Source organism: Homo sapiens, chromosome 13 (genome assembly GCF_000001405.40).
Source record: "Homo sapiens chromosome 13, GRCh38.p14 Primary Assembly".
NCBI lineage: Eukaryota > Metazoa > Chordata > Mammalia > Primates > Hominidae > Homo > Homo sapiens.
In genome coordinates, this window is record NC_000013.11 from 23644261 (window position 1) to 23667839 (window position 23579).

At 39.3% G+C, this 23579-nt stretch overlaps 1 protein-coding gene across 10 annotated transcripts in view, besides 2 other annotated features; it reads left to right on the top strand.

The window, feature by feature from the left end:
* TNFRSF19 (TNF receptor superfamily member 19) overlaps positions 1-23579 on the top strand; it is a 105682-nt gene that overhangs the window by 73849 nt on the left and 8254 nt on the right. For all 10 annotated transcript variants that reach the window (XM_047430440.1, XM_047430442.1, NM_148957.4 and 7 more), the window contains 2 exons: positions 14790-14954; positions 16105-16230. In XM_047430440.1, coding sequence (XP_047286396.1) covers positions 14790-14954; positions 16105-16230 — 291 coding nt within the window. The remainder of the gene's footprint in view (positions 1-14789; positions 14955-16104; positions 16231-23579) is intronic.
* Positions 9654-10155: an enhancer, noted in NCBI's record as "H3K4me1 hESC enhancer chr13:24228053-24228554 (GRCh37/hg19 assembly coordinates)". NCBI's record gives its function as "activates a minimal SCP1, AML or CMV promoter by ChIP-STARR-seq in primed H9 embryonic stem cells {active_cell/tissue: H9 hESC(primed)}" and the evidence as "EXISTENCE:reporter gene assay evidence [ECO:0000049][PMID:30033119]".
* Positions 10396-10535: an enhancer, noted in NCBI's record as "active region_7460". NCBI's record gives its function as "activates an Ori minimal core promoter by ATAC-STARR-seq in GM12878 lymphoblastoid cells {active_cell/tissue: GM12878}" and the evidence as "EXISTENCE:reporter gene assay evidence [ECO:0000049][PMID:35858748]".

A 23579-nucleotide genomic window follows, 5' to 3' on the forward strand; every position in this document is an offset into this window, starting at 1 on the left:
CCAAATCTCATCTCGTAGTTCCCATAATCTCCACATGTTGTGGGAGGGACCCAGTGGGAGATAACTGAATCATGGGGGCAGTTTCCTTCATCCCGTTCTCATGATATAGTAAGTTAGTTCTCACAAGATCTGATGGTTTTATAAGGGGCTTTCCCCCCTTTGCTTGGCACCTCTCCTTGCTGCCGCCATGTGAAGAAGGATGTGTTTGCTTCCCCTTCCAGCATGATTGTAAGTTTCCTGAGGCCTCCCCAGCCCTGCTGAACTGTGAGTCAATTAAACCTCTTTCCTTTGTAAATTACCCAGTCTCAGATTTGTCTTTATTAGCATCATGAGAACAGACTAATACACAGTTCAAAAAAGAAAAGCAGTGAAAACGATATCAGGCACTAGCTTGGAAACGCAGCCCTCAGAGCATATTTGAGGACTGTGGTCTGACATGATGAACTTTTGCTTCTACTTTGTGCAGTACAACTGCGGTGAGCTGTCCTAAACACAGACGGTAGGAAATAGGCTGGCCTGTATGTCTGCCAGTCTCAGATGCTGGTGAGCAGAGATATCAAGCCCCTGTGTGTATATATATATATATTTGGGCGAAGTTTCAAAAGTAACATCAGAATGATTCCTTAGGAAAAGGATGCAAATCCTAGTGTAATCCTTCTGTGATCCTCTATTTGAAAAATGATACTTTCTTGCTCTAAACAACCCACTTCAGTAATAGATCACCAGTACTCTTAACTCCACTGAGCTCTGCTCCTCTTACTTTGTGACATCACATTTTCAAATCACATTTTGGTTTCATTTTAGTTCAGAATCATTCAATAATAAATTTGGAAGGGGCTACAATGGGCAGGGTCATTAATTTTTTAAAAATCACCAGTCTTTTTCTTCAGAATGTACAAACTTGCTTTCTGTAACTAATCTGTAAAATAAAATATCCTGATGTAGCCTACCTTTATTTTTTTGAGACAGTCTCACTATGTTGCCCAGGCTGGAATGCAGTCGTGTGATCTCAGCTCACCACAACCTCCACTTCTGGGTTCAAGGGATTCTTGCACCTCAGCCTCCCAAGTAGCTGGGATTACAGGTGTGCACCACCATGCCCGGCTACTTTTTGTATTTTTAGTAGAGACGGGTTTTCGCCATGTTGACCAGGCTGGTCTCAAACTCCTGGCATCAAGTGATCTTACCGCCTTGGCCTCCCAAAGTGCTGGGATTACAGGTGTGAGCCACTGTGCCTGGCCTGTTGTAGCCTACTTATTTAAGAATCAGAAGAATTCATCCCGCAAAGCCTTGGTTTATTTATGTGTTTCTTGAAATATGTTTTTTTATACCTGCTTGTTTTCCCCTTATCTCAGAGGCTGACTCCTCCTCTATCAGACTTCCTAATTTCAAAGCCTACCTGCATTCTGCCCTGGGTCCTCTTCTTTACACTGTACACACCTAGGTGATCTGATCAGTCCCTGGCTTTGGACGTTACCTATGCACTGATGCTTTTTGAATTTATATCTCCAGCTACAATCTCTTCTGCCTCAGTTGTGTATGTCCAGCTGCTGGCTTAACGGATCCACGTGGATAAATAGGCATCTCAAACTTAACAATTAAAATGTTTTATACCTCCTTCCTCCCTCCACCAAACCCATGGTCCCTCAAAACTTCACCATCTCCATAAATTAATAGACAGCACCTAATTCATCCAGTGGTTTACTCTAAAACCTAGGTGTGTTCTTGATTCTGCCTTTCCTTGCACCTGACTCACAATCCATCAGTGTATCCAATTACTCTTAGAACAAACAGTTCTCAAATCAAGCCAGCTGACAAGCCTCCATGACTGTAATCTTAACCCAAGCCATCACCATCAATATCTGGGCCAGTGCGGCACCCCCCGGCCTGCCCTTTCTCTCTTTCCCTCCCCGGTCAGCGGGCAGTGATCTTTCTGAAGCGGAAGGCAGAACCTGGCACCCTCCACCCTGAAGCCCCCCCAATCACTTCCTATTAGCTTTCTTTTTAATTGTGGGAAAACATATATAACATAAAGTTTGCCACTTCAGCCTTTTTTAAGTATACAAGTCAGTGATATTAATAACATTCATGATATTGTGCAGCCATCACCACTAAGCTACTTCCATATCTCTTTCATCACCCCAGATAGAAGCTCTACACCCATTAAACAAAAGCTCCTGTGCCTCCCTTCCCCCACCCCTAGTAATTTATAATCTACTTTCTGTCTCTATGAATTTGCCAATTCTAGGTATCTCTTGTAAGTGGAATTATATTAGTATTTGTCCTTTTGTGTCTGGCTTATTTCATTTAGCATAATGTTTTCAAGATTCATTCATTTTGTGGTATGTATCAAGTTTTCTTTCCTTTAAAAGGCTGAATAATATTCCACTGTATGTCTATGCCACATTTTGTTAACTAGTCATCTGCTGATGGACGACTGGGTTGTTTCCACCTTTTGGCTATTGTGAATAATGCTGCTATGAAGATATACAAGTATCTGATTCCTTATTTTCCATTCCTTGGGGTATATACCCAGGAGTGAAATTGCTGGACTGTATGGTAACTTTGTGTTTAATGTTTAGAGGACTACCAAACTGTATCCCACAGCAGCTGCACCATTTTACGTTCTTACCATAATAGTCATACATTCACACAGGTCCCAATTTCTCCACATCTCCACCAAAACTTGTTATTTTCTATTTTTTAAGTTGTAGCCATCCTAATGGGTATGAAGTGGTATCTCATCATGTCTGGATTTATATTTCCCTAATTATTAATGGTGAGCATCTTTTCGTGTGCTAATTGGCCATTAGTATGTCTTTTGGTAAATGTCTATTCAAATCCTTTGTCTACTTTTGAATTTGTTTGTCTGTTTTTTGTTGTTGAGTTGTAGGAGCTCTTTATATATTCTGGATATTAAATCCTTACCAGATGTATGAAATGCTAATATTTTCTTCTGCTCTGTGGGCTGTCATTTCATGTCCTTGATGGTGTCCTTTAAAGCACAAAAGTTTTTAATTTTTATAAAGTCCGATGTATCTATTGTTTTCTTCTGTTTTCTGTGCTTTTGTTGTATATTTAAGAAACCATTCCAAGCCCAAGGTCATGAAGATTTTCCTCTATGTCTTTTTCTAAGATTATTTATTTATTGATTTATTTAGAGATGGAGTCTTGCTCTGTCACCCAGGCTACAGTGCAGTAGTGTGATCTTGGCTTACTATAACCTTGAACTCCTGAGCTCAAATGATCCTCCTGTCTCAGCCTCCCGAGTAGCTGGGACTACAGGTGACACCACCATGCCCAGCTACATTTTTTTTTAATAGAGATGGGTTCTTGCAATGTTGCCCAGGCTAGTCTCTAACTCAAGCAATCCTTCCACTTCAGCCTCCCAAAGTGTTAGGATTATAGGCATGAACCACTGTGCCCAGCCTCTTCTAAGAATTTTAGTTTCAGCTCTTGAATTTAGGTCTCTGATCTATTTTTAGTCAACTTTTAAATATGGTGTGAAGTAGTCTTCAACTTCATTCTTTTGCAGGTGGACATCTAGTTTTCCTAACACCATTTTTTGAAGAGGCTTCCCTTTCCCCATTGAATGGTATTGGCACTCATTTAAAAAAATCAGTTGACCATAAATGTATTGGTTTACTTCAGGACTGTCAATTCTGTTCCATTGGTCTATATGTCTGTCATTATTCTAGTACCACACCACCCCCCCTTTTTTTTAACTGTAGCTTTTGTAGTAAGGTTTGAAACTGGGAAATGTGAGTGCTCCATCTTTGTTCTTTTGTAAGACTATTTTGACTATTTCAGGGTTCCTTGAAATTCCATATGAATTTTAGGATAGGCTTTTTCACTTCTGTAAAAAATGCCATTGAATTTTGACAGGAATTGCATTGAATCTGCAAATCACTTTGGGTAGTATTGTCATCTTAACAATAGTAATTTTTTCAGTCTATGGACATGGAAGGTGCTTCCATATATTTTGGTCTTCTTTAATTTCTTTCAATAATGTTTGGTAGTTTTGAGTGTACAAGTCTTGTACCTCCTTTGTTAAACTTATTCTTAAATATTTTAGTCTTTTTGATATTTTGTAAACGGAATTATTTTCTTAATCTGCTTCTTAAATTGTTCATGCCTAGTGTATAAAAATACAGCTGATTTTTGCATGTTGATTTTGTATCCTGCAATGTTGCTGAATTAATTTATTAGTTCTAACAGTTTTTTGTGGAATCCTTATCGTTTTCAACATGTAAGGTAATGTCATCTACACATAGAGGTAGTTTTGCTTCTTCCTTCCCAGTTTGGATGCTTTTATTTCTTTTTCTTGAGTAATTTCTCTGGCTAGGATTTCCAGTACTATATTAAGTAGAATTGGTAAAAGTGGGTATCCTTGTCTTCTTGATCTTGGGGGAAAGTAAGTGTTCAGTTCAGTCTTTCATCACTGAATATGATGTTAGCTGTGAATTTTTCATATATGACCTTTGTCATGTTAAGGAAGTTTCCTAGTTCATTGAGTGTTTTTATCATGAAATAGTGTTGGATTTTGTCAAAGGCTTTATCAGCATAAATAATTTTGTTGTGTATTTTTCCCCTTTATTTTATTATTGCTTATTGTATTGATTGACTTTTGTATGATTAACTACCATTGCCTTCCTGGGATAAATCCCACTTGGTCGTGGTGTATAATCTTTTAATATGCTGCTGAATTCAATTTGCTACTATTTTGTTGATAATGTTTGTCTCTATCTTTATAAGGGATCTTGATCTGTAGTTTTTTTCCCTCATGGCAGCTTTATCTGGCTTTGGCATGCAGTAATGCTAGCCTTGTAGAATGAGTTAAAAGTGTTCTCCCCTCTTCATTTTTTGGGATGAGTTTGAGAAGTGTTGGAGTTAATTCTTCTTTAAGTATTTGGTTGAATTCACCAGTAAAGCTGTCAGGTTGTGGGCTTTTCTTTTTCAGGAAGTATTTGATTACTGATTCAATCTCTTCGGTTATATAGATCAATTCAGATTCTCTGTTTCTTCCATTTTGTTAGTTTATGTGTTTCTAGGAATTTTTCCATTTTATCTAATTTGTCCAATTTGTTGGCATATGACTGTTTATAGTATTGTCTTATAATCCTTTTTATTTCTGTAAAGACTTTAGTAATATTCTCTTTCATTTCTGAATTTAGTAATTTGACTATTCTCTCTTATTTACTTAGTCTAAAGTTTTGTAGATTTTACTGATCTTTTCAAAAAGTCAACTTTTGTTTTTTTCTTCCATTATTTTCCTATTCTCTATTTCATTGATCTCTGCCCTAGTCCTTACTTCCTTTCATTTGCTACCTTTTAGCTTAGTTTGGTTTTTTTTCCCATAATGTTTTAAAGTGGAAGGTAAAGTTACTGACTTTAGATCTTGCTTCTTTTTTAATGTAGGAATTTATTGATACAGATTTCCCTCTGAGCACTGCTTTTGTTGTATTCCATAAGTTTTGGTATGTTGTGTTTTTACTTTTATTCACCTCAAAGTATTTCCTAATTTTCTTTGTGATTTCTTCTTTGACCCATTGATTATTTAAGAGTATATTGTTGCATTTTCATATATTTGTGAACTTTCCAGTTTTCATTCTCTCATTGATTTCTAATTTTGTTCCTTTATGATTGGAAAAGCTACTTTGTATGATTTCTGTCTTTTCAAACTTATGGACACTTGTTTTGTGACCTAACAGGTGGTCTGTCCTGGAGAAGGTTCCATGTACACGTGAAGAGAATGTGTATTCTGATGTTGAGTACCTCCTGTCATTCTTAGAATAGAATCCAGACTTCTCACTGCAGCTGTAAATCCCTACAGGAATTGACCCCAAACAGCTCTTCTGGCATAAAATCCCTCCATTCTTCCCCTAGCTCTTGCTTAGGAAGTATTTTTGACTGACTTATTAATTAACATAATCTTTAGTGTAATGGCAATAATGTATCTTTTGATAGCAGGTGAAACAAGTACAATGTATCTTTGTGGAATGTTTTTAAATATGTGGAATAATCTTGTACATGAGTGTGCATAGCAGCACTATTCACAAGAGCCAAAGCTGGGAAAACCAAGATGTCCATCATCTGAGAAATGGCTAAACAAAATGTGGTGTATCTATACAATGGAATATTATTCAGTCATTAAAAAGTGAAGCTCCGATACAAGCTACACTGTGGATGAACCTTTAAAACATTATACTAAGTGAAAGAAGCCAGACATAAAAGGCTGTATAATACTGTATATCCATTTATATGACATATGCAGAATAGGCAAATCCATAGAGACAGAAAACAGATTAGGGCTTGCCAGGGGCTGCAGGGATGGGGGAAAGGGAGTGACCACTTAATGGGTATGGGGTTTCCTTTTGGGGAGATAAGAATGTTCTAGAATTAGTGGTGATGGTGGCATAACATTGTGAATGTATTCAGCTTCTTAATAGTAAATCTTATGTCTATTTTACTATAATTTTAAATCAGTTCAATTTAAAAAATGTAGTTATGGATATAAATGGAAGAGCAAACAGAACAAGCTTTTTTTGGAAATAATATTTCTTTTGGTTATTGAAAAAGAAACATAGTCCTAAGACTAAAGTCTAAAATATAAAAAACATAAATGACGAAGCCTTCTTCTTTCACATGTATCCAGTGTCAGAGTGCTTGGTATAAAGTGTATTTTACAAATTCAACTATTTTGTTTATTGGCAGACTCTATAGTGGTAGATCTGGAATTTGTATGTTGAGTGTTACATAGATATTTTTGCTTAACCAGTTTAGATTAACAAGATAAAGCTTACACTTCAGAACTGTATGCTTGTCTCAATTAAGATTGAAGAGAGCTCTTTGTTAATAATTTTTTAAAGAGCATGACTAGAAATAGATTCATCATCAGGTTTTAATTTTGTTAAACTTTTATTTGATTTGGGCTTTTTGATGGTACTGGTGCTGGTAGAAGAGCACAGAAAGCAATGGATTGAATTGTAGTTTACTTGAAGCAAATATGAAGGTCAAAGATAAAATATTTCAGTGAAAAATATTTTTAAATGTCTCATTTTTGTGCTTATATTCCAGTACTTATTGCTAATTGCTAATTGAATTGCATGTGTCAAAACATAGTCACCAATAAGTAAAAATGCTTGCATTTCCAATTATGTTGGAGTTGCCAGAGTGATATGTTATACAGAAGGAAACCAGATGTGTTATTTTCATGTGCTAAACTCTCTAATGAAAACATAAGGCGTTAATGAAATCTCAAAGGTGGAAGCCCAGACAGAAAGCATAATTAGTTCATTTACAACTTGATCTTCCCTACTACATTTATTTAATGCTCATTTTATGATACCACATAGAGCTTTAAAATAACACATAAAATGAAGTTTATAAGCCATATGTTGTTTTTTACTGCAATAAAATTCAATAGCCTCCTTAATCTAGGGTTTAGATAAAACAGGTTGGATTTGTAAAGTCATGCTTGTGTTTTAAATTAGGTCAAGCTATATTGTATGTGTTAGCTGATTAACTAGAATATACTGGTCTATACAGAATCTGAACCAGTAATCCTTCACACTATAGTCTTTTTTTTTTTTTTTTTTTTTACTCTAAATGGTTGGAAAGAACATAACATGCTAAAAAAAAAAAAAAAAAAAAAAAGCATAAGTTTTAAGAGTCAAACTAACCTGAGCTCAGATCTAGATCCAGCCACCTAATGGTTGTTTGGCATTAAAAAGTATGTACAGATACATATCAACTTCTCCATCTATGAGATCCTTTCTGCACAGGGTTATTACAGCGCCCAGAAAGTGGGTATGTAGGGGCTGGCCCCTGCACTTGTGGTTATATGGTAGCTGTGATGGTGTTGATGATAATTCAGCTAACTTTTGTACAAAAGACAAATATAGGTTCCTGTGGTTAACTGCTCTCTAGGCACTCACTGTTTTCTCCATACCTCTGTCTACTGTTGGGAGTAAGTAAAAATGTCAGATTAATACGACTAATTTGGTAAAATGATGTGAATGCTTAACTGTCCCCATTATCCAGCTCACCTGATAGTTCCTGAAATTGGTACCAAAGCACTTGTGTTGGAAGAAGTGGTTCACCTCCTGAAGGTCTTCCCGTTTTCTTCTTTGGGCATTCATTATAAATCAGTCATCATTTTATATAGATTGTTAACTAAGATTACATTTGGCATATAATAAGATCCTTCTGTGATGACTCCATGAAGCGCTACTTAAAATGGACTAGAGAAGGCTAAGTTTTTGTTTGATATTCATTCCAAGGATGTGGTCAATGGTCTACATGGATTCTCTATTGATATATATCTGAGCCACCCTTGCTCTCTCATGCATGGCCTGATTAATTGCAAAAACTAAGTGCATGCAAACAAAACTGTTCTTTGCTCCAGCTGTTTCCATCTGCATTGTCATTAGCGACATAGCCCAAGGTGGAAGGTTATTAGACAACCAATGAACACATCATTGGCATAATCTCATCTTATTGATTGGACAAGTCCCCATTAAGTCATCTTTCTGGAATACTTGGGATTTTTCCTTTTATTTCATAGACATTCATTCATTCCGTCATTTAACACATATTTATCAGGCACCAGCTGTGTGCCAGGAACCCTTATAGATGTTAAAAATACAAGCAAAACTCCCTGTCCTTTCTGTGGGAGATGTAATTGGCTAGGATAAATACTAAGCTGCTGTAACAAAGAGACCCAGAAATATCGTGGCCTAAGTAAGATAGAAGTTTCTCTGTCTCGTATTTAGCAGTTCAGCCTGGGAAAGCAGCTCTGCGTCAGGATGTCTCAGAGCCCAGCTTCCTGCCCCCTGTGCTAAGCCAGCCTTAGACATCTGCTTCCCACAGAGGATCAAGGCTTGGCTGCTGCATTCACCTCCCAGCTCACAGTGAGGGGCAAGTCTAGGTCAAGCAATGGCTCCCTAAGTGAAGCTGACCCACACATAACCCACACCCCTTCTGCCCACTTTCGTCCCCACTGACTCTAACCTGGATATGGTCAGGCTCAGCTGCAGTGTGGCTTCTTGCTGGACCTAGCTTAACGACGAGCCTGGTGGGTGTGTTTGAGAAGCAGGGTGGGATCTCCAACTCCTACCTTGGGAGAGAATGACAGTGAACCAAACAAGTAAAGTATACAAAATGTCAGATGATCGTCAGTGCTGTGAAGGAAGAGAAAGCAGGGCAGTGGGTAGGAAGTGCTGGGGAGAAACTGCAATTGTAAATAGATTGGTGGGAAGCCTCACTGAGGTGGTGACATTGCGGAAGGACTCCAGCAGCTGAGGTGCAGTCCTTGCGGCAGTCTAGGGGAGCATTGTGGACAGAGGCACTGACAGGTGAGGAAGATCTGTGGGAGGGGCAGGGAGTGTGTTGAGGGATTTGCTTGTAGTTGGGGGCACGTGCTTTGGACATGGTGAGTTGAGATGCATCTTTATCCATGTGGAGGTGCCAAGTAGGCTGTGAGATGCATGACTCTGAAGTTCAAGAGAGCAGATCAGACTGGAAAGAAAATTTCAGAGTAGTGAAATCAAGTATCCTACTTCATCTTTCATGTAAATGCCATGCTCATTTCTGCAGGGAGAGCACAGCCAGGCCACAGTGGCCATGGGACTTTCTGGGCAGCAGATCTATTGGAGTGTGCCTGGCAGCTGGTTCTGCAGGAGCTCACCTGCCCTAATAGAATGTTCAGGCCCTTCTGCCTCAGTGGGTCTTGGTGTCTGCGTGAGGAGCTTGCCCAGGGAGGAAACTGAGATTAAGAGCTGTGAAAAAAAGTCTTGTTTGTGGCCAGGGTGGAAAGTGGCAAGAGCCAGGTTTTGGACAACAGTTCCCTTCCTCCCAAGCAGCCCCGCCTGAATGGGGCCCTTTGTTAGGAAAATTCTCCAGGAAGAAGGATGTTTTGTTGAGCAGGTTTTTAAACATTGCATAGTAGGAAGTTGGAGAGGTTAAGCAAGTAGGGAGTAGCAGTAGAAGGCAGAGGAGGGAGCCTGGCAAGCCCAGGCGGAGTCCAGCTGTGACTGCCTGTGCACATCCTTTCCCATTTCCCTCCCTACTTGGGCCCTTTCCAGATGCAGTCACCTCCACAGAATGCCCCCCGCCCCTGCCCCAGGACACCCAGACGTTGCTCAGCATGCTTACTGCCCCCACGTCTGATCACAGTGGCCCGTCATGCAGACACCAAGACCAATGGGAAGGCGGAGGACCCCGAACATCTCTGTGGGCAGGTGAACTCCTGCGGAACCAGCTGCCATGCACACTGGGGCAGCTCTGCAGTCTGGAAAGCCCTGTGACTGCTCTGTGGCCTGGCTGAGTTCTCCCCACAGAAATGAGCAGGGCCCTTACATAAACAAACATGAGCTGTACTTTGGTTATCATTACCCAACAGAATGTTTTGATCTCAGAAGCTACCTGCATCTGTGGAGCAGTGCGGTCTACTAGAGGGGCTCAGAAGGCCTGAATCCAGTTTTCAAGCTGCCTCTGCTTTGCTGTGTAACCTTGAGCATGTGACTCAAGGTCTTGATTTTCTTGGGTATCAAATGAAGCTCATCAATGAACGCTCACCACTTTACCTAGTGAGGAGGGTGAGGCACTGAAGGTGTGTTAGAAGCTGTGTCTACAGAAGCTAGTGTCCATGTTTTAGCCACCTCTGTGGCTTGCAAATAGGTTCCTCATTTGCAGCATCTGAGAAGTTGCTCTTGCCTTTGTCCAGTGTGACAAGTCTCTCCAATAGATGTGTTTCAAGGCTTTCCAGCTATGCTTGAAGCTCTTTAGGGGATGCAATGTGGGGAGAGGATATGGATTTCTGCACCTTGGTCTACTCCAAAGAAGTTCAGATGGGACTTTATAAAAACACTTGGCAGATTTTGCTGGAGACCTCCATTTCCTTTTCTTCTATTCAGATTTTCCTCAAACTTTTTTAATGCCTTGTAGGATGTCGTACTCGTAATAGACACTCAGGACATAATTGTTCAGTTGAGTTGAACTCCTAAGGAGATGCATAATATAAAAGTGAACCCATGTAATGTAGGTAAAATTTAAGCTGAAAGAAAACAATCCTTGCTCTGAAGTAAATTGCTAAAGGGTAGTGCTAACATTATGGTGGAATTTAATAACTTAATTGGTTAGAGTAAGAAATATTTTGTATTCCAGAAAAGTTAAAAACTTTCCAAGGCATGTGGACCTTCCTATTTCCACTTCTTCAGAAGTACTTTCGGAATCCTAATAAGATACGGGCAGAATTCCTGGCTGGCATTCAGTCTGCTTAGTGAACTAGAATGGGGCATTTAGTCAAGGCATGTGAGTGGAAAGAATCTTTCATCTCAGTATCATTGCCACAGGTTAGCAAAACAATACCTTTTCCTTTAGCGTAGATAAGTTCTTTTCTTAGGAATTATCAGCAATATCTCAATTAACAAAAACTTTATAGAGTGGAAGCCACTTTATATAGCTAGTATAAATCTGCCCCCCCCCCTTATTTTTGGTTTTGTTTTGTTTTTGTTTTTGTTTTTGTTTTTTGCTGCTCAAGTCATAAAGAATTATAAGAAAATAGTTTTTTTACTAGAAACTAAAAAGAATTAGTTTCTAGAGCTGTTCTAAAATCAAATGATATTCAGTTCAATCTCCTATTTATGTCTGCATTGCTATATGTGACAAAGCTAAAAATGATGAACTAAAAATGACGAACCCATTTCCTAGAAAAAAAGAATGTTTGCTCTGAGTGTTACCATAAACTCATACATATAAACAAGAATCAAGAAGGCAGTTTCCAGAGCCCTACTTCCCATGAGCACTCTCTGAGGGTGTTTGGATCAATAAGATGCCTGTTGTTATATAGGTGTCAAAAATCAAGAAGTAAAACTTGTATATTTTTCTTGTTCATCTTTAGATGTCACTGCCTGGGGAAATGTGTGGAGAAGGGGCATATTGGATGTACTTTTCCTTTAAAATTGATATTACTGTGGCAACTATATATCATTGACATTACAGTATTGTGCCCTATAGTATTAGATATGTGTTAACAAGACACGTTTAGAGAACATAAATCCTGAGTTACAAACCACCAAATTAAGAAGAAAATCTCCACTTTTGGGACATTTTAACCTATCTGTAAGTTAGAGACAGTTCCTTTTATATTAAGGAAAATAAGTTGACGAATGTATTATAGAAGGATTTTAAACAATAAGAACTTAAAGGACTCTAATTATGATACTACTTTAACCCAAAATCCCTATTCTTACCAGGATTTTTCTGAATATCCAGTTTTGTGTCAATTGATGAGCTTAATGGTTACAACAGTTGAGAACTTTGAAGTCCTCCACTCAAATCATGTATTAAGCTTCATTTTTACGACAGCTATTGCCAAAACCCCATATTGTGTAGGGCTGGGTTATTTGAGCAAAAATTTAAGCTAAGGAGACTCTTCTCCCTCTGAAGTGAACGCCTTCCTCACCAATGTAAATGACAGCTTCCCACAGCTTCACCATTTGGTCCAGATGGATAATGCTTTCATTTCCAAGTCACTTCCCCTTCTCTGTGGCTGCTATTTCAACTTGCGTGGGATGCAAGTTCCTCTCCAGTTATGCATTTTCAGTGTTTGCACAGCTGTGCTTGTGCTCATATGGCCTTTTGTGACTCTGTCCAGTGATAGAGGCTGTTTCAGATTAGATTTAATCTCTATCAGGTCAGGGTTGTAATTTTTTTTAGCTTGCTGTATAATGAACATTTAGTGTGTGCCGTTTGCTTATTATAGTGTTCTATAGAGTTAGAAGTGATGAAATATATTTTGTGAATATTAAACATGTTTACAAATAAATGTCCTTTAAAATGTATGATTGGATTATGAGCCTTATTCATCTAAGCCCAAAACATATGGTGTGTGTGCCTTCCCAGATGGCAATAAGAGACTTTTATATGTGTGGCCTAGAATCACTGAGACTGGAAATACCAAGACTCATGCTCCAAGATGATAGTTCCTGCTATCCTGTTTTTATGATTCAGTAATATTAACCCAAGTGTTTCTCTCTGGGGCTGTAGTCTCAGGTGTCATACGATCTTATTGGGAGTGAGGGGTGTGTAGCCAGGGAGAAGGAGAAAGGCACCAGATGACAAATTGGCTTGTGTTTAGGTGCCATCTTGTACAAATATAGACACAGACCTTCAATCTCTAGAGTTGCAGTGTCCATTATGATAGCCATTAGCCACATGTGGCTACTGAGCATTTGAAGTGTGGCTAGTCTGAATTCAGATGAGCTGTGTCTTTAAAACCACACCGGATTTTAAAATTTTAATACAAAATAGAGAACGCAAAATATGTCATAAATAATTTTTATATTGAATACATATTGAAATGCAATATTTAAGATATATTGGCTAAGTAAAATAGACTAAAGTTAATTTTACCTGTTTCTTCTTCTTCTTCTTCTTCTTTTTTTCTTGAGACAGAGTCTCGCTCTGTCGTCCAGGCTGGAGCGCAGTGGTGCGATCACAGCTCACTGCAGCTTCATAGGCTCAAGGGATCCTCTCAATTCAGCCTCCCAAAGTGCTGGGATTACAGGCATGAGCCACCGCACCTTGCCTCTCTTTTACGTTTTAAATGTGGTTCCTAGACAACCTGAAATGACATGTGAAGCACACATTATACCTCTACCTGGAGTAATCTTCAGTCGAGGGGAGGCTCCTGTGGTGAGCAGCACCTGCCGGGGAAGCAGAGTGAGGGCCCCTCAGCTCACTCAGGGCATCTGCTTGGGAAAGAGAAAATGTAACTGCCCCTCTGTGTAGATTCATGCCCCTTTTAAATCCATTTCTCTCATTATTTTGGGGTTAGTTAAGTAGGATATGCTGTTTAACTGCACTAGATATAGATCTCTGATTTAAATGAGTTTGTTTATCCTGGTACCCTCAGGATAGTTTTAAAATGGTAATTACTATCATCATCATTACAGTGGCTAATGATTCTACAGCACAGCCAGTCCCACACACTTTACATAACACATGAGCCAGTCACTATTATTACCTCCATTTGAACAGATGGCAACTTGAAATTCCAGTCAGTGTCTCAAGGTCACACAGGTAGAGGTTGACCCAGGCCATGGGGTTCAGAATCTGCCCTGAACCACAAAGCAGTACTGCCCTCTAAAATAAGATCTATTTCTTGACTTTCTTAGCACATGACTATGCCGGCCTTTCCATAGTGTAATAACAGTATTAGTCTTTTCTCCAAAACTTAGATGTTTTCCAGTAGTTTAACAGCTAAGGCATTCAGAGATGTTTACTGTCTCAAAAACTGGGGTCTACTGTAAGGTTCTGGATGATCCAACTCCTTGTTTTCCCCTAAAGTTGCCCCAAAAAGCATACATGCATTCAGTCTGCTTAAAAATATGGTGTAATTCCAATTAAGTACAAAACATTAGTTCCCTGCCACATGCCAAGTACTGGGCAACCAGAGGTAAAGATGACAGACCCCCAGCTCACAAAGAATTCTGCTCTGGTGGAGCTGAAGGCAGATTCTAGTAACACAATGTGTTGAGGATTGTGTGTCCGTAGCGCTCTGGGAACAGAGGAGAGGGACACCCTGCACATTGTGGGGTGCCGGGTAAAGGTGTCCCATTAAAGACATCTTCTGGGTGGAGGGGGTGCTTGAGCCATCTTTAAATATCTCATGCCAGTTTTCTCACAGCATGGGAAGGCCACTGGTAAGGGTGCCTGCCAGCTTCGCCATAAACACTGCATCTGCAGTTGTTCAGAGCATGCTGACCCCATTCCTGTGGTTTCAGGTGCCAGCAAGGTCAACCTCGTGAAGATCGCGTCCACGGCCTCCAGCCCACGGGACACGGCGCTGGCTGCCGTTATCTGCAGCGCTCTGGCCACCGTCCTGCTGGCCCTGCTCATCCTCTGTGTCATCTATTGTAAGAGACAGTTTATGGAGAAGAAACCCAGCTGTAAGTTTTGAGCTCATTACATTTCTTAGCATTTAGGGGAAGGGCATTTATTACTATTGTCGTGCAAGTGTTCCACAAGAGACTTGGCTGAGACAAGCACCAGTGAGTTGTGAAAGAACGCAGGGCACAAGAAACACAGGTGATCCCTGAACAGCAGAGGGCTAGGAGAGCAGTTAAGAATCCACACGTCAGTGTTGACTCCCCAAAAACTTAACTACTAATAGCCTATTGTTGACGGGAAGCCTTACTGATAAACAGTTGGTTAATACATCTTGTTTATTATATGTTTCTTTGTTTTTTTGTTTTTTTGGAGACAGAGTCTGGCTCTGTCACCCAGGCTGGAGGGCAGTGGCGTGACTTCAGCTCATGGCAACCTCTGCCTCCCGGATTCAAGTGATTCTCCTGCCTCAGCCTCCGGAGTAGCTGGGACTACAGGCGCCCGCCACCACGCCTGGATAATTTTTGTATTTTTAGTAGAAACGGGGTTTCACCATGTTGGCCAGGCTGGTCTCGAACTCCTGACCTCGTGATCCGCCTGCCTCGGCCTCCCAAAGTGCTGAGATGACAGATGTGAGCCACTGCACCGGCCTATTATATGTATTATGCCCTGTATTCTTACATTAAAGTAAGCTAGAGAAAAGAAAATGTTACTAAGAGAATCATAAGGGAGACAAAATAGATTTACTCTTCATTAAGTGGAAGCGGATCATTGTAAAGGCCTTCATCCTCATCATCTTCATGTTGAGTGGGCTGAGGAGGAGGAGGAGGAGGGTTGGCCTTGGTGTCTCAGCGTGGCAGAGGCTGAAGAAAATCTGTGTATAAGTGACCTGCGCAGTTCAAACCCGTGTTGCTTAAGGGTCATCTGTAGAATTCACTGAGGTTGCACAGCTTTGTAAGGAGACTTACAAGGCTGTGATGTCCCTGCGCCACTAGGCAAAAATAAAAATCATTCTCAGTAATGGCAACATTAGTACCCTACATTTTGAACTTTCTTAACAAATTATTTCATGTTTGTGCTTCCATGTAAGAAGAAGTCATCAAACATTGGAAGGATAGCTGATTTGTTCTTTAAAAATACAAAAGCTAGAATGGCACAGGTCCACTAGAGAGGAGACTGTGTTCCCTGACAGAGTTCTCACCCCTCATTTAGGGTCTCTGCGGTCACAGGACATTCAGTACAACGGCTCTGAGCTGTCGTGTTTTGACAGACCTCAGCTCCACGAATATGCCCACAGAGCCTGCTGCCAGTGCCGCCGTGACTCAGTGCAGACCTGCGGTAAGTTCAGCAGGGAAGTGCCGTTAGGAGGACTGGAGGTACACAGAAGCTGAAGCAGCAAGAATTGGTCCTGGTTTATTCACCTCACAGCGAGGTGGCTGTGTTGAGTCTTCTGGTTAAAACTAATCTTGTTAAATTATTCTCCACCATCTCCTGTTGGTTTGGGTGTTTCGAGTCTCTTAAGCATTAAAAAGGAAATAAGCATCTCGTTAAAATTCTAGAATTTTTCAGCAACTTTTGGGTCATGTTTGTCTTTCTTGTTTTGAGTCAGTTTATTTAAAATCACGGTAACCTTTGGTAGAGTAGGACTTTATATCCTTTGCTGTCTGGTTGATTCAAACCAAACACTAATATGCCTATTTTAAAAATATGTCTATTATAAAAATATATCTATTTTTAGAATTTCTTAAAGAAGAGAGAGCTGAGAAGTCCATTTCAAGGTTTTACACAAACCATAATTGCCCCTTGGACTATTGACAGATTGAAAGTTTAGGAAAGTAATTCAAAGGGAAACTGGTCTCTAACTTGGGCAAATAGGGGCAAAGGTAATACCAACTTTTTAAAAACTTTTATTTTAGGTTTGGGGGTACATGTGCAGGTTTGTTATATAGGTAAACTGATGTTACACGTTTATTTTACAGATTATTTAATTATTTAAGCCTAGTACCCAATAGTTTCTTTTTCTGCTCCTCTCCCTCCTCCCACACTCCACCCTCAAGTAGACCCCATTGTGTGTTGTTCCCTTCTTTGTGTTCATGTGTTCTCATCATTTAGCTCTTGCTTATAAGTGAGAACATGTGGTATTTGGTTTTCTGTTCCCGCCTTAGTTTACTGAGGTAATGGCCTCCAGCTCCATCCATGTTCCCACAAAAGACACGATCTCATCCCTTTTTATGGCTGCATAGTATTCCATGGTGTATATATGCCACATTTTCTTTATCCAGTCTGTAATTGATAGGCATTTAGGTTGATTCCATGTCTTTGCTATTGTGAATAGTGCAGCAGTGAACATTCATGTGCATGTGTCTTTATGGTAGAGTGATTTATATTCCTCTGGGTATAAACCCAGTAATGGGATTGCTGAGTCAGGTGGTAGTTCTATTTTTAGCTCTTTGAGGAATTGCCACACTGCTTTCTACAATGGTTGAACTAATTTACACTTCCACCAACAGTGTGTAAGCATTCCCTTTACTCTGCAACCTTGCCAGCATATGTTATTTTTTGACTTTTTAATAATAGTCATTCTGACTGGTGTGAGATGGTATCTCTTTGTGGTTTTCATTTGCATTTCTCTAATCATCAGTGCTGTTGAGCTTTTTTTCATATGCTTGTTGGCCACATGTATGTCTTCTTTTGAGAAGTGTCTGTTCATGTCCTTTGCCCAGTTTTTGATGGGGTTGTTTTTCTCTTGTAAATTTAAGTTCCTTATAGATGCTGTATATTAGACCTTTATCAGATGCATAGTTTGCAAACATTTTCTCCCATTCTGTAGGTTGTCTGTTTACTCTGATGATAGTTTCTTTTGCTATGCAGAAGGTCTTAAGTTTAATTAGATCTCATTTGTCAATTTTTGCTTTTGTTGTGATTGCTTTTGATGTCTTTGTCATGAAATCTTTGCCCATTCCTATGTCCAGGATGGTATTGCTTAGGTTTTCTTCCAGGGTTTTATAGTTTTGGTTTTTACATGTAAGTCTTTAGTCCATCTGAGTTGATTTTTGTATATGGTGTAAAGAAGGGGTCCAGTTTTAATCTTTGGCATATGGCTAGACAGTTATCCCAGGATTTATTGAACAGGGAGTCTCTCCCTATTGCTTTTGTCAATTTTGTTGAAGATCAGGTAGTTGTACATGTGTGGTCTTATTTCTAGGATCTCTATTCTACTCCATTGGTCTATGTGCCTGTTTTTGTACTAGTACCATGCTGTTTTGGTTACTGTGGCCTTGTAGCGTAGTTTGAAATCAGCTAACATGATGCCTCCAGCTTTGTTCTTTTTGACTAGGATTGCCTTGGCTAATACAGGGTCTATTTTGGTTCCATATGAATTTTAAAATAGGTTTTTCCTAGTTCTGTGAAGAATGTCTTTGGTAGTTTGATAGTAATAGCTCTGAATCTGTACATTTGTTTGGGCAGTATGGCCACTTTAATGAAATTGATTATTCCTATCCATGAGCATGTGATGTTTTTTCATTTGTCTGTGTCTTCTCTGATTTGTTTGAGCAGTGTTTTGTAATTCTCTTTTACCTCCGTGGTTAGCTGTATTCTTAAGTATTTTATTCTTTTTGTGGCAATTGTGAATGGGATTGTCTTGCTGATTTGGCTCTTGGCTTGGCCGTTGTTGGTGTAGAAGAATACTAATGATTTTTGTACGTAGATTTTGTATCCTGGAACTTTGCTGAGGTTGTTTATCAGCTGAAGAAGCTTTTGGGCAGAGACTGTGGGGTTTTCTAGATATAGAATCATGTCATCTGCAAACAGGGATAGTTTGACTCCCTCTCTTCCTGCTTAGATGCCCTTTGTTTCTTTCTTTTGCCTGATTGCCCTGGCTAGGATTTCCCATACTGTGTTGAATAGGAGTGGTGAGAGAGAGCATCCTTGCCTTGTGCCAGTTTTCAAGGGGAATGCTTCCAGCTTTTCCCCAGTCAGTATGATGTTGGCTGTGGGTTTGTCATAGATTGCTCTTATTATTCTGAGGTATGTTCCTTCAATACCTAGTTTATTGAGAGTTTTTAACATGAAGGATGTTGAATTTTATTGAAAGCCTTTTCTGCATCTATTGAGATAATCATGTGGTTTTGTCTTTAGTTCTGTTTATGTGATGAATCGCCTTTATTGATGTCTATATGTTGAACCAACCTTGCATCCCAGGGATGAAGCCTGCTTGATCGTGGTGGATTAGCTTTTTTGATGTGCTGCTGGATTCAGTTTGCAAGTAGTTTGTTGAGGATTTTTACATTGGTGTTCATCAGGGATATTGGCCTGAAGTTTTGTTTTTTTGTTGTATCTCTGCCAAATTTGGGTGTCAGGATGATGCTGGCCTCATAGAATGAGTTAGGAAGGAGTCCCTCATTTTTTTGGAATAGTTTCAGTGGGAATGGTACCAGCTCTTCTTTGTCATGTGGTAGAATTTGGCTGTGAATCCATCTGGTCCTTGGCTTTTTTTGGTTGGTAGGCTATTTACTACTGATTCAGTTTTGGAGCTCATTTTCGTTCTGTTCAGGGAATCGATTTCTTCCTGGTTCAGTCTTGGGAGGGTGTATGTGTCCAGAAATTTATCTGTCTCTTCTAGGTTTTCTAGTTCATGTGTATAGAGATGTTTATAGTAGTTCCTGATGGCTATTTTTATTTCTGTGGGGTCAGTGGTAACATCCCTTTTGTAGTTTTTAATTGTGTTTATTTGGATATTCTCTCTTATTAGTCCAGTTAGCGGCCTATATTATTTATTTCTTCAAAAAAACAACTCCTGGATTTTTTAATATTTTGGGTGGTTTTTCATGTCTCAATTCCTTCATTTCAGCTCTGATTTTGGTTATTTCTTGTCTTCTGCTGGCTTTAGGGGTGAGGTAATTTGTTCTTGCTTCTCAAATTCTTTCTGTTGTAATGTTAGGTTGTTAATTTGAGATCTTTCTAACTTTTTTATTTGGGTGTTTAGTGCTATGAATTCCCTCTTAACACTGCCTTAGTTGTGTCCCAGAGATTCTGGAATGTTGTATCTTTGTTCTCATTAGTTTCAAAGAACTTGATTTCTACCTTAATTTTAGTATTTACCCAAAAGTCATTCAGGAGTATGTTGTTTAATTTCCATGTAATTGCATGGCTTTGAGTGATTTTCTTAGTCTTGACTTCTATTTTTATTGCACTGTGGTCTGAGCATGTGTTTAGTACCAACTTTCTTTGCTATGTATTTATATTCTTCAGCACGTGTTTTTACACTTACACATCCCACTCCCCCACCACCCTACCACCTTACCTCCTCTGCAAATTAAAACCCTCTATAGCCAACCACCCTCTCTACAAGTCTGTCCCAGTTCCCCCGTCCTCTTACTACTTTACAGTTCTGTTATCACCCATGGAAGCAAAACTAATAGCACCATTTTGTCTAATAACCCATCTGTATTTGTTTTCACCATATTCTATTAGATTGACTTGTCCTCTTGGAACTGTCTAATCAGTCTTCTCAAGAAATTATCAGTTAAGTGTTCCAGTCTCATGTTGTATATACAGCCATGCATTGCTTCTATGCAAACCTTGTAGAGTGCACACAAAGCTAGATGGGATAGCCTACTACAGAGCTAGGCTATGTGGTGTAGCCCATTGCCCTAGGCTACAAACCTGTACGGCATGTGACTGCACTGAATACTGTAGACAGTTGCAACAAATAAGTACTTGTGGATCTAAACATAGAAAAGGTACAGTAAAAATACGGTATTATAAACTTCCAGGACCACTATGGTATAGTTGGGCCATCATTGAACAAAATATTGCTATGCAGCATATGGCTATATGGAATAAGAAGATTTCATTTTAATTCTTTTTCTGCTAATTATTACTATCTCCTATTTTGGGAATGGGTGAAGAATAAAATACAACACTTTCTGTGGTGTGTGGATCTAGTTTTGCCTTTGCCTATATAGACAAGACTCTTAGACACTATTAATGGTAACTGTGTGATCCTTAAACACCCCCAAGCATTACATTTTCCTAGATACAATACCGTGGACACTGTTACTAGAGTCAGAGTAAGTAGGAATACTTTCTGGAGAGATGAACTCTAATTTTAAATTTTAAATGTAATAAAAGGCAGTTTGTATAAACTCTGCCTCACCTTACTTCAGTCTGAAATGAAAGATTAAATATACAGATGGCCTTGTTGTGTGACCTCCTAACAGAACACTGGGGCCAGAAATGATCCCCATGCCAATGCACTGGTTCAGTGCAGCTTATTTCAAATGTTTCCTCCTTAATGGCAGATACTTTTTTCCCTTTAACTTTTTATTTTGACATAATTTCAGAAATCAGTCATAATTACAGAAATATCGAAAGTGTAGAACAAAGAATTCCCACATGTCCTTTACCGAGATTCCCCAAATATTAACGTTACCCATGTTCACATTTGCTTTATCCCCTCTCTCTCGTGTGTGTGTATACTTGTTTTTCATTTTCTGTTTTAAATTCAGTTGCAAATATGATGTCCCTCTACCCCTTAGTACATCAATGTTTGCTTCCTAAGAACAAGAACATTTTCTCTCACATAACAACAGCATAATTATTAAAACAGGAAATTCGTGTTAATTCAGTGCCATTATATAATCTACAGAGCGTATTCGTGTTTTCTTAATTGCCCCAGTATTGTCTTTTGTAGCAAAAAGTATTCTGAAAACTTCTGTTGCATTGAGTTGTCAAATATGTTTGGTCTCTTTTAATCTGGAATTGTCTCCTAATGTTTGTGTCTCATGATACTGATTTTTTTTGAAAAGTACAGGCCAGCACTTTTCAAAATTCTACAGTTTTGTAGAATGACACTTAATTTGGGTTTGTCTGATGCTTCCTCAGGATTAGATTCAGAAATACTGCTGAGGGGATGCTGAGTCCTCAGCGCACTGTATCAGGAGGCAGAGTTGTCCATCTGGCCTATGCCTGGTCAGGGTAACCTTGGTCACTTCGTTAAGGGGGTGTCTGCCAGGTTTCTCCAGTATAAAATGTCCGCTGTTCTCTTTGTAATGAATAAATATCCTATAGGGGATACTTGGAGGCTGTGTAAATATCCTGTCACACCCCAAACTTTCACCCTGTAGCTTAGCGTGCTCTGATGATTTGTACTGGAATCAGTCATTACTATGATGGTTAACAAATGCTGGCTTTCTAATTCCGTTATTCTTTCCACATTTATTAGTTGGCTTCCTATGGTAAGGAGGAACTTTCGTTCTCCATTTATGTATTTATATACCTTAGTTAGTTTAGACTCGTGGACTGTATTCAGTGGGTTGCAGCCCTTTGGTGTCACTATTTATTCTGATGCTCATGTTGCCTTTCATTTGGAACTCCCTTCAGGCTGGCTCATGTGCCATTTTGACATGTCCGCATTATTCTTTTAGCACTTTCTTACTTTCTGCCACCAAAAGAAGTCCCAGGTTTATCGTGTACTTTCCCTAGAATCAGCCTTTCTATAAGGAATGGCAGTGCCTTTTGCTTTAAAACAATTTTGAAATGTCTCATGGTGAGCGTGACACACGTTTGTTAAGCGGCAGTAAACCCTGGCGAGTTCAGCGGGGTCAGAGCACTGTATGTTTAGATGGTCTGGACGGAGGCCTTGCTTTGAGGGAGACTTAGATGCAGGCAGGCCAGTCATCCTGTTTCTCACGGGCTTGCAATTGCATCTCAATATTTGGCATTCATTTTTATAAAGAGAGACTGTAGTTTCATAATTTTTTTCCTGTTTATAAAAGTAAAGAGATATTCCTCATGGAAAATTTGGATACACACAAACATATAGCTATATATGTAGATGTATAATTTCTCCAATAGCTATATATGTAAATGTATAATTTCTCCAAGTCTTCCTTTGTGTATGTGTGTGTCTTTGTGTGTGTGTGTGTGTGCTTTAGTGTGTTTGTGGTTCTATAAATCAGAGTGATATATATATATATATATATGTATGTATAGACAGAGTGAGAAATCAAGAAGGCTGTTCAAAAAGCTGAGTGTTTATTTTCAGCTTATAGGATTGAGAAGATTTATTTTTAAATTTCTTATCTAATCTCTATATTTTAGATTTTTAAGCTTATATTATCTTTGTAGCACAAAATACATCCAGCTTCAGTGATATATTCAGCTTGTAAAGCTGTGTGCACATATCTACTTATTCCTTAAGTGACATTCCTAGCAATAAAAAGAAATGGTGTGTCTGTGTATATGGAGTTAGAGGGTTCGAACATTCATGCTCTCGTCTGTGTTAGGAGGCCACTCAGCGGGAAAGTTGTCCTGCTCCTCCTGTCCTCAGTGGGGCCAAGAAGTCTCACTTCGTGGTCTCCCACAGACTGCTTTATTCCTTTTCCCCGCTTATTATTGTAGTGAAATACACATAAGATAAAATTCACCATCTTAACCATTTTCAAGTGTGCAGTTCAGTGGCGTTAAGTACATTCTCACTGTGGTGCAGCCATCACCACCATTCACCTTCCAGAACATTTTTCATCCTCCCAAACTGAAACTCTGTCTCCATTAAACAGCAGCTCCTGGTCTCCCCATTGCTCCAGCCCCCTAGCATCCCCCCTTCTTCATCTGTCTGTATGAGTCTGTCTACTCTCGGTACCTTATATAAGTGGCTCATCATTTGTTTAAGATAAGAAAAA